The 12,125-nt window shown below is 40.9% G+C and overlaps 1 protein-coding gene across 6 annotated transcripts in view, besides 1 other annotated feature; it reads right to left on the bottom strand.

The window, feature by feature from the left end:
* MOB1B (MOB kinase activator 1B) overlaps nt 1-12,125 on the bottom strand; it is an 86,318-nt gene that overhangs the window by 66,339 nt on the left and 7,854 nt on the right. The gene's annotated exons all lie outside the window — the stretch shown is intronic.
* Nucleotides 6,904-7,198: a silencer, noted in NCBI's record as "tiled region #2882; HepG2 Repressive DNase matched - State 7:EnhWF". NCBI's record gives its function as "represses a minimal TATA promoter and a strong SV40 promoter by Sharpr-MPRA in HepG2 cells {active_cell/tissue: HepG2}" and the evidence as "EXISTENCE:reporter gene assay evidence [ECO:0000049][PMID:27701403]".

Raw genomic sequence — 12,125 nt, 5'->3', positions numbered from 1 at the left:
AAGAAGTATTGTAAAGAAATGCGGGCCAGGCACGGTGGCTCACGCCTGTAATCCCAGCACTTTGGGAGGCCAAGGTGGGTGAATCATGAGGTCAGGAGTTCGAGATCAACCTGGCCAACACGGTGAAACCCCATCTCTACTAAAAATACAAAAATTAGCTGGGCATAGCGGCACATGCCTGTAATCCCAGCTACTGGGGAGCCTGAGGCAAGAGAATTGCTTGAACTGCAAGCTCACTCAGCTTGCAGTGAGCTGAGATCGCACCACTGCACTCCAGCCTGGGTGACAGAGCAATACTCCATCTCAGGAAAAGGGAAGGGGAGGGGAGGGGAGGGGAGGGGAGGGGAGAGAAGAGAAGAGAGAAGAAAAGAAAGAAAGAAATCCATCAGCAGTTTGGCAATTCTTTTTTTAATATAGTTAAGCATGAAGCTGGATTTACTGTGGAGCCAAATTTCACACACATGCCTGCATTGCTTCACATTATGTTTACTGTTTTGCATAGATAGTGCTGGCACTGGAGTACTTACTGGTCATGTGCCTAAAGTGGATTTCTTGACTGCATAGAATGTATAATAGTACTGGTAAACTAAAGGATATTAAATTGTGTATCAGGAATAAAATATTCATTATGTGAGTTTTCTGGGGCCCTAGGTAACACTGTAGCCTCCAGGGTAAATTAAATAGGAAAATTTAGGGTTGGTTTCCTGTTTGTTTTTGCTTCTAGTTTTCATTCATTTGCTGTTTATTCTCCTCTGGCTTTGCTTGTGTATGCATATATATAAAAAACCATGATATTTTTTAGTTCCTAGTGGAAGGCTTTTACTTGGTTCCGCGAATGGTTATTTTGTTTCTGATGCATTTCTAGCAAGTCATCATTTGTTCCATTTATCTGGAATTCCTAAACTACCTTTATCAGTAGAGATTAATGGAGCACACCAGCTTTTCATCCTTAAGCTAACTTTTTGGATTTTAGGCCTCCTGATACTTTAACTGTGTTGAGTATATTCTTGTAAATAGAATTTGAATCATACTTCTCTTTCTCTGCCTAATTTCCCCCAAAAATCTGTAAACTATTTGTGAGTATTCTTAATTCATGGCAATGTGTTTGTCTGCATACAGTCAAGCAGGGTCACTAGGATCACTCAGAGAGAGAGAACCCAGAAAACTGGCATGCTGGCAAAAGGGTAAGAATTTCTTACCAGTCTATATCTGGCTTCTTTCTCTGTGCAAACTAGTTAAATATAAAGTAAAAGTCACTGTTTATCTCCTCCATAAAGTTTTAAATTAATTGCTGTAATAATAAGAAGCCAGGTTCAGTGGCTCATGCCTGTAATCCTAGCACTTTAGGAGGCCGAGGCAGGCAGATCACCTGAGGTCAGGAGTACGAGACCAGCCTGGCCAACATGGTAAAACCCCATCTCTACTAAAAATACAAAAATTAGCCAGGCATGGCGGGGCACGCCTGTAATCCCAGTTACTTGGGAGGCTGAGGCAGGAGATCACATGAACCCAGGAGGCAGAGGTGCAGTGAGCGGAGAGTGAGACTGTTGAAGGAGAAGGAGAAGGAGAATGAGAAGGAGGAGGAGAGGAAGAGGAAGAGGAGGAGGAGGAAGAGGAAGAGGAGCTTAAATCAAATATTTTGTCAGAAAAGTGAAAAGTGTAATGTCTTTTATCTAGTTCATGTGACTTGAGTAATTTCTGGGAAATAAGGATAGTTTTAAAGATAATTGGTAAAATATGTCTTCAAAATGTAAATATGTGGTTACATATTATGTTATGTATAATTATGTATAACATAATATGTAATTAAATTATGTTCAAATATTTGCTTTAGGGTCATAAGCTGTTTCTTTGGCTTTTGAAAATTGTTTAACTTGCCTGCTTTCCAGCTAGGTAAGGCCTGGGGACATGTGGAGTCATGACTATACATCAAACCTTATTGAACATAACTCACCAGGTTTTACATCAAAATTAAAATTTCTAAGAGTTGCCATTATAACATGCAATTAAGACTACTAGAAACAGTTTTACAGCTGGGTGTGGTGGCTCACGCCTGTAATCCCAACACTGTGGGAGGCCGAGGCGGGCTGATCACCTGAGGTCAGGAGTTCCAGACCAGCCTGGCCAACATGGGGAAACCCTGTCTCTACTAAAACTACAAAAATTAGCCTGGCATGGTGGTGCGCGCCTGTAGTCCTGGCTACCTGGGAGCCTGAGGGAGGAGAGTCACTTGAACCCGGGAGGCAGAGGTTGCAGTGAGCCGAGATAGCGCCACTGCACTCCAGCCTGGGCAACAGAGCAAGACTCCATCTCAAAACAACAACAAAAAAAGAAACAGTCTTACATACAATGTGTGTAAGAACAGTAGAATGTGAGGTTTTTTTGGTAAAAGGTTATAAAAGGTTTTTACTTCTTTAAAATTTCTGAGTCATCATTCTGGCAAAATAAATAATTTACGGGAATCTGGAATTCCAAAATCAAACTTCAGTTTCAAAATTGTCTTTTTTTTTTTTTAATTATTATTACACTTTAAGTTTTAGGGTACATGTGCACAATATGCAGGTTTGTTACTTATGTATACATGTGCCATGCTGGTGCACTGCACCCACTAACTCGTCATCTAGCATTAGGTATATCTCCTAATGCTATCCCTCCCCGCTCCCCCCACCCCACAACAGTCCCCAGAGTGTGATGTTCCCCTTCCTGTGTCCATGTGTTCTCATTGTTCAATTCCCACCTATGAGTGAGAATATGCAGTGTTTGGTTTTTTGTTCTTGCGATAGTTTACTGAGAATGATGATTTCCAATTTCATCCATGTCCCTACAAAGGACATGAACTCATCATTTTTTATGGCTGCATAGTATTCCATGGTGTATATGTGCCACATTTTCTTAATCCAGTCTATCGTTGGACATTTGGGTTGGTTCCAAGTCTTTGCTATTGTGAATAGTGCCGCAATAAACATACGTGTGCATGTGTCTTTATAGCAGCATGATTTATAGTCCTTTGGGTATAAAAACCCTAGAAGAAAACCTAGGCATTACCATTCAGGACACAGGCATGGGCAAGGACTTCATGTCTAAAACACCAAAAGCAATGGCAACAAAAGACAAAATTGACAAATGGGATCTAATTAAACTAAAGAGCTTCTGCACAGCAAAAGAAAACTACCATCAGAGTGAACAGGCAACCTACAAAATGGGAGAAAATTTTCGCAACCTACTCATCTGACAAAGGGCTAATATCCAGAATCTACAATGAACTCAAACAAATTTACAAGAAAAAAACAAACAACCCCATCAAAAAGTGGGCAAAGGACATGAACAGGCACTTCTCAAAAGAAGACATTTATGCAGCCAAAAAACACATGAAAAAATGCTCACCATCACTGGCCATCAGAGAAATGCAAATCAAAACCACAATGAGATACCATCTCACACCAGTTAGAATGGCAATCATTAAAAAGTCAGGAAACAACAGGTGCTGGAGAGGATGTGGAGAAATAGGAACACTTTTACACTGTTGGTGGGACTGTAAACTAGTTCAACCATTGTGGAAGTCAGTGTGGCGATTCCTCAGGGATCTAGAACTAGAAATACCATTTGACCCAGCCATCCCAAAATTGTCTTTTCTAATGCCTGGCTTTGTGGATGGATCAGAGGGCCCCTGAAAACATCTAGAAAAAAGGTAAACAGGATTATCTGACATGTTTAGGTACATGGGATTGCCAAAATTATGTTCAATCTTCTTTAGGATATATTTTTGTGGATAATGTATGTTCCAAAATTGTATGGGATTTCTAAAATCCCAATGTCTAAGTTTGGTTATTAAGTTATTGTAAACCATAGAAATAACCAAATTTCCTTGTATAAAGCTACTAACCCAAGTAAAACCAAAAAAAATTAAATATCAAGAAAATACTTTGTCCAATTTTCATTTTAAACCAACTGATACTGAAACTGTTTAAGATAGTTTATCATCAATGCTTGATCCCACATTCCTGGGAAAATAATTAAAGCTTCACATACATTTGGTGACCTGATGGGCCATTTAAACATTTTATAAAGGGATTTTATTAAATTGTTATTTTCAATGCATGTTTTCTGGTTGTATAAAAGCTTTCCCATGCAAGAGGGCTGATGCTAAAACAGTAGATTATTATACTACAGTGTATTTTTACCAGGTAAAGACAGTTTTTTATGGTTTGGATCTTCTGAGAACGTCAGAGAAAGACTGTCCTTCCCATCCACACTACAACAAAACTTCGGGACCTTGAACTTTGGGTTCATAATCTCACAACTGAGAGGGCTCTCTCCATACTTTTGGAACTGTGCACCCATTTGAATCCTTGAGGTAAAGCTAACCAAGGAAATTTCTCCCAAGAAAAAGATGACGTCCTTGATGTGAACAGTTTTTCCCCAAGTTCAGAGATTAAAACTTCTACTATCATGAAACTCTTATCTTTGAATGTTTTTCTTGCTTATAATGGAAAAGGAGTCTGTTATGTGCACTAATGGGGTGTACTTTTATTTTTGAAGGAGTTTGCAGCCAGCCTTATACTTCCATAGATAAAAGATGAAGACCCAATGTAGGTAAGAAACCTTAATGGTACATACGTTGCCTCATAATCAGTCAAAAACAAAACACTGGTTCACTACTCTTAACCCATATCATGGGTTAAAGAGAACACTGCCAGGAGGCCTTCACTGTTCTAAAAGGGCATCATTTGTTAGGTCCTTTTTCCAAGGTTAAAAGTAAAAGAAGTAGTGTTAGAAATGTATCCCTCATAATACACTCTATAGCAAATTCTACTGTAAAAGCTACTGTTACACAACAGACTTTAAATTCTCCTGTGAAAGTTATAATGGAATTGGCTGAACAGAGAAGTATGTGAACAGCTGCTGCTACTTGTGGCCTATAGAGAAATACATCCAATGAAGATTATAGAAATTCAGTGGTAGGCCAGGCGCAGTGGCTCATGCCTGTAATCCCAGCAGTTTGAGAGGTCGAGGTGGGTGGATTACCTCAGGTCAGGAGTTCGAGACGAGGCTAGCCAACATGGTGAAACCCCGTCTCTACTAAAAATACAAAAACTTAACTGGGCATGGTGGCACATGCCTGTAATCCCAGCTACTTGGGAGGCTGAGGGAGGAGAATTGCTTGAACCCGGGAGGCAGAGGTTGCAGTGAGCTAAGATCATGCCATTGCACTCTAGCCTGGGCAAGATAGCAAGACTCTGTCTCAAAAAAAAAAAGATATTCAGTGGCAGGGGATTAACAAAGAAATTGCCTAGGCAAGTGAGTAAAATCTTTAGCTCATTCTTTGTTCTATTTGAATTTAGGAGGTTTGTTTTACGGGGACCTTGGGTAAGCAACTCTTGGTATTACCCTCCCAAATAGTCATAATAATAGTCTCTCTCGTGCACTGTATTCTCTCAAAGGTTTTAAATGCTTGCATGCAGCCATCTCTAGAATGTCATATGGTCTCTCTTCAACTGAAATGACAAGAGCTGAAAGAAATGTGTGACCATGAGGACACCGTAACCTATGAATGACGTGCTGAGACCAGAAACCCAAAATAATGGTAACTGAGAGTGATACTAAGGCCCTAAATTTTGGTCACACTCTCACCTAAGTGAGAACCTGACCAAAAAGGGGGAATTTTTTAAACAAAATTCTGGGAGGCCATCGTTTTGGACTAATCTCATGCACTAGGCCCCAAGAGACCAAACCAAACTAAAATGGAGTCGTTCATGCTAAGGCTTTAAGGAAACATGTAGATCCTAGAATAGACCAGGTTTTGTTTTATCGCCTGCAAACTCTGTAACAAACATTCCTGACAGCATAGGTACCCACCCTCTGAAGCCCCCATTAAATATTTTAATCCAATTCATTTCCTCTCGCCTAGAGACCATCAAACTTAAGATGATCAGGCAACAAAGGTTCCAGCCAGTTCCAGGTGAAGACACCACCCCTGGCCATCAAGGAGCTACCCTGCTTCCACTAGACAGAGCAGGGAGACAGTTCCACGATCCCCAATAGGTAGGGACTATGCCTCAAGCCAGCATGAAACAAGCTACAGAAAAAAAAAAAAGACCAACGGTCCCCCTCTGCCGCCCATAAAGATTTCTCAGGGTCACATCTCTCAGGGGCAGATGAGGTAGGAAAATAGGGCCTGAAGGCACGGAACATAAGGCCAACTCACACTTCAGCTATGACAGGAAATATCCTCTCCATGGGGCAGAGGCCAAGTAAATGACTATAACTTTACTTCATTCTCTCCATTTATATAGGGCGTACCTGAAGTAACTAATGGAATCCTCTAGAAAGTATTTAACCTCCCTTACATAGGGCATACTCGAAGTAACTAATGGAATCCTCTAGAAGGTATTTAAACTCCTCAAAATTCTGTAACGGGGCTCTTGAGCCCCTATGCTCGGGCCTGCTCCCACACTGTGGAGTGTACTTTCATTTTCAATAAATCCCGTCATTCCTTCCTTGTTTTGTCTGTGCATTTTGTCCAATTCTTTGTTCAAGATGTCAAGAACCTGGACACCCTCCACCGATGACACTATTACCCAAATAATGCTTGTTTACCTTCAACTCCTGCTTTCAAGTTCTAACCACAGAATATCAAAATAGCACTAACACATACCATAACAAACCGATAGAAATTGGCTACAATTTAAATAATCCTAAGTGGTTTATAAAAAATAACAGCTGCTAGCAATCATCATTGTTAAGATAATGATAATAACCGAAGTATCACTGTCGCACATAAGTCCAATCGATTGAGCTAAGTCTTCTACATTCAGTATCTCTAATCCTCCCAACATTTCTGAAGTATTGATCCTAAACATAGGATTCATAGGAAAAAAACACATTACTGTCACACATGTACCACACACAGCTGAATCTCAGACTGCTTTCATCCTTTATATGCTACAGGAGGGGCCCACACAGCCCCAAGGAGAGGAGGTGGGGCAGTAACCGCGACTGTACAACAGCTTGGGCCCAGGCCAGAGAGGGTGGCCAGACAGGGTCAAGAGAACAGCTGTAGTACAGGGACAGAGCAAACAACTACCTGAGAATGACAAAAGTCAGGTTTCTTACCAACAACAAAGAAAAACATAGGAAAGGAGAAGGCTAGAATGAACCCTGTGCCACTGACTTGCAACTGAAGGTAGTGATGTGAACTCGTTTAATATACACAGATAGATATAGCTAAAAATATATGGATATAAATGAATGTATTTTTTAGTACTGTCCAATGAGAGTGCCTGGGAGCAGCAACACATCTGTAATCAGCATACCTACACCTAGATTTTGGTTTCTAAATACTGTTCTCCACTGAGCAGAACCAACGTCCTCAGATAAATGTCTATCTCCTGGACTGGGGCAGAAAAAGTGTAAGATAAAAAAATATTTTGTTGTGCCAGGAAGTAAGGAAGTGTTCAAATGAGGATGGGAACAAGTCAAAGAGACACAGAAGCCAACTCACTGAAGAACATGGGAATCCTTATATCCACACTGCCTTAGTCACTTTAGGCTGTTACAACAAAGTACCTCAGACTGCATAATTTATAAACAACAGAAATTTATTGCTCACAGTTAAAGAGCCTGTATAGTTCAAGATCAAGTCACCAGCAGATTTGATGTCTGGTGAAGCCCTCGTAAATGGCGCCTCCTATGTGTCCTCACATGGTAGAAGGGCAAAGAGGCTAACATGTTCCCTCAGGCATCTTTATCAGGGCACTAATACCATTATTGAGGGCTCTACCCTCAAGATCTCTTCACCACCCAAAGGCTCTATCTTCTAATACCATCACCTTGGTGATCACTTTCAACATATGAATTTTACAGGGATACAAACATGCAGATCACAGCACACATTGGTATTAAAAAAAAAAAGAGTAAATTCCTCCTTACAGTAAAATTGCCAACTAATAAATTTAGAAGCAATGACAGAATTAGCACTTTGGCAATCATCATAGTAACAATTTAGACAAGAAATATCAACGAACACTAAAACTAGTGGGTGAAAACAGAATGAGGAATGGGAGAGCTACATACTACCAAAATATCTCCCTATAAAATATTAATAACAAAAAATAATAATAACCTTACAGTGGAGAATCCTGGCAAACACATTAATCAAAGGATCAAAGTTAACACCACCAATAATGGACAAATAGACACTATATGCATCTGATAAGATGCAGTAAGAAAAATGCACATCACCTGGGCACGGTGGCGCACACCTAGAATCCCAGCACTTCGGGAGGCCAAGGCAGGAGGATTGCTCGAGCCCAGGATTTTCAGACCAGCCCTGGCAATGTGGGCTGTCTCTACAAAAAATTTAAAAATTAGCGGGGTGTGGCGACACATGCCTGTGGTCCCTGCTACTTGGGAGGCTGAGGTTGGAGGATTGCTTGAGCCTGGGAGGTAGAGGTTACAGTGAGCCACAGTCACACCACAGCATTCCAGCCTGGGCAACAGAGTGAGACTATCCCAAAAAATACATAGATACATACATACATACATACATACATACATACATACATACATACCCATACAAACGTACATAAGAAAAGAAAAACATACATGGCTTCTGTGATATTCCTGCCTCAAATGCGTAACTCAAATGCACAAGGAAACATCAGAGAAACCCAAAGCGAGGAATGTTCTACAAAATGGCCTGTAATCCTCAAAAATGTAAAGGTCATAAAAGTCAAGGAAAGACTGACAAACTATTTCAGTTTGAAAAACACAGGCTGGGCCCGGTGGCTCACACCTGTAATGCCGGCACTTTGGGAGGCCAAGGCCGGGCAAATTGCTTGAGCCCAGAAGTTCAAGACCTGCCTGGGCAATACGGTGAAACCCTATCTCCACAAAAAAATGATTAGCCGGGTGTGGTAGAACATGCTTGTAGTCCCAGCTACTCAGGAGGCTGAGATGGGAGGATCCCTTGAGCCTAGGAAGTCGAGGCTGCAGTGAGTCGAGATCGGGCCACTGCACTGCAGCCTCGGCAACAGAGCAAGACTCTGTGAGAAGAAAAGAAAAAAGAAAAACACTACAGACATAAGTGGATGCAATACATGATTCATGACTGGATCCTTTTGTCGAAGATTACATTGTTAAAGCAACAGATGAAACTCAATGGGGTTTCTGGATAAGGAATATGTGGAAGTTCTTTGCACTGTTCTTTGCAACTTTCCTGGAAGTTGAAAAATGTTTCAAAATTAAATTTAAGGCCGGGCGTGGTGGCTCACACCTGTAATCTCAGCACTTTAGGAGGCTGAGGCCGGTGGATCACCTGAAGACAAAGTTGAGACCAGCCTGGTCAACATGGTGAAACCCCATCTCTACTAAGAATATAAAAATTAGCTGGGTGTGGTGGCGGGCACCTGTAATCCCAGCTACTTGGGAGGCTGAAGCAGGTGAATTACTTGAACCCAGGAGGCAGAGAATGCAGTGAGCAGAGATCGCACCACTGCACTCCAGCCTGGGAGACAGAGTGAGACTCCATCTCAAAAAAAAAAAAAATTTAATTTAAAAATCACTTCTGTAAAAGAATGTTACTTCACAGCTACACTTATACTTAATTAAATGTGTTGTAAAAGATGGACCTAAGGCTGGGCACGGTGGCTCACGCCTGTAATCCCAGCACTTTGGGAGGCTGAGGTAGGTAGATCACTTGAGACCAGGAGTTCAAGACCAGCCTGGCCTACATGGTGAAACCCTGTCTCTACTAAAAATACAAAACTTAGCTCAGCATGGTGGTAGGCGACTGTAGTCCCAGCTACTCGGGAGGTTGAGGCTGGAGAATCACTTGAACCCAGGAGGCAGAGGTTGCAGTGAGTCAAGATAGTGCCTTTGCACTCCAGCCTGGGAGACAGAATGAGACCCTGTCTCAAAAAAAAAAAAAAAAAGATGGCCTTAAGTTGGTTAATATAAAACAAAAATGGAAACGTAGGAAGAAAAGGAGAGTTAAAGTTCTCTACAGGACTCAGTTTGACATTCCTAACAGGTAGAACTGTTTCATATTTTTCAAGTAACATGTAGCTATTTTGCCTCAATATCTCCTAATCAAATACACAGTTTAGGGAAGTGCTACATGTATTAGACACGTGCTTTCATATATCAGAAACTCCGAAAGTACAAAAACTGCAACTACACTTAGAGAAAGAAATCAATAATGGTAAAAGTAACCAAATGGCAATTATTTTGCACTCTAGTATGTAAAGGAAAAAAAAGCTATCTCTAAACATGATAAAAGTAAACTAAAGCCAGTCAGTCCTGCAATTCCCAAAACTACAGTTCTTTCTGAAAAGATGACCATATTTACTTCCACTCCCCACATTCCCTCAAAAATACAACATATTAAAAAGGATAACATATATTATATATAAGGATATAATATATGACATATATGTAAGATGTTATCCTTTTTAATGTTATATTAAATTCTATATATTTAATAACAAAAAGAAAAAAATAAAATAACCTTACAGTGGAGAATATATTATAAGGATATAATATCTGATATCCTTTTTTGTTGTCAGATAAAAAACTGTAAGATAATACTTGGTCATCAGCCATTCAAAATGATGTTGCAGAAATCTATTCTCTGGCAAAAAAAAATTTACAAGTAAAAAACCTGGTCTACGCACGGTGGAAATCCATTTGTATATTTTTAAATACATACAAACAAAAATGCAATAAAAAAGATTCAGAAGAAGTTAGCAGGGCGCGGTGGCTCACGCCTGTAATCCCAGCACTTTGGGAGGCCAAGGCGGGCGGATCACAAGGTCAGGAGTTCCAGAACAGCCTGGCCAATATGGTGAAACCCCATCCATACTAAAAGTACAAAAATTAGCCAGGCGTGGTGGCGGGCACCTGTAGTCCCAGCTATTCTGGAGGCTGAGGCAGGATAAACGCTGAATCCAGGAGGCGGAGGTTGCAGTGAGCTGAGATCATGCCACTGCACTCCAACCTGGGTGACAGAGCAAAGCTCTGTCTCAAAAAACAAAAAAAAAAAGATTCAGAACTTTATCCCTAAATACAAACAACAGTTGTCTCTGAAGGTGTGATTATGAGTGATTTTTATTTTCTTCCTTTTCCTAACATGATTTTGTGATTTCTCCAACATGTATATTATTTTTACACTAAAGATAAAGGTTAAAAATATTTAAATATTATATGAATTTAAAAGTTACTATTTCGTCTTCTACTAGTGTATTCTTGGTGAATCTTAGAAGAGAGTCCCAGCATCATGAGACAATAATGCCTGGTAACATAAGACTTCCCTTAATAACAAGGCCCACTTGAATATCACCTTTAAGAAAAAAATATATATATAGATATACATACACACATATATACATACATATGTGTGTATATATGTATATACACGCATGTGTATGTGTATATATATCTATATATAGATATAATTTTGTTAATTATAGATGATAGTATAAGGCAGGATCAGCTGGGCGCAATGGCTAGCACCTATAATCCCAGCGCTTTGGGAGGCCGAGGCAGGCAGATTGCTTGAGGCCAGGAGTTCGAGACCAGCCTGGCCAACACGGCAAAACCCCATCTCTACTAAAAACACAAAAATTAGCTGGGCATGGTGGCACACGCCTGTAGTCCCAGCTACTCAGCAGGCGGAGGCAGGACAGTCACTTGAACCTGGGAGGCAGAGTTTGCAGTGAGCCAAGATAGCGCCACTACACTGCAGTCTGCGTGACAGAGTGAGACTTTGTCTCCAAAAAAAAAAGGCCGGGCGTGGTGGCTCATACCTGTAATCCCAGCACTTTGGGAGGCCGAGGTGGGAGGAGCACCTGAGGTCAGGAGTTTGAGACCAGCCTGGCCAACATGGTGAAAATCCCATCTCTACTAAATATATAAAAATTAGCCAGGCATGGTGGAGGACACCTGTAATGGTGAAGGGCACCTGTAATCCCAGCTACTCAGGAGGCTGAGGCAGGGAGAACTGCTTGAACCCATGAGGTGGAAGTTGCAGTGAACCAAGATTGAGCCACTGCACTCCAGCCTGGGTGGCAGAGCAAGACTCCGTCTCAAAAAAAAAAAAGAAGTATAAGACAGGATCTCTGGACCTA

This window comes from Homo sapiens, chromosome 4 (genome assembly GCF_000001405.40).
Source record: "Homo sapiens chromosome 4, GRCh38.p14 Primary Assembly".
Taxonomy (NCBI): Eukaryota; Metazoa; Chordata; class Mammalia; order Primates; family Hominidae; genus Homo; species Homo sapiens.
Note: the sequence above shows the minus strand (reverse complement) of the source record. Positions and strands in the feature narration are given on the sequence as shown.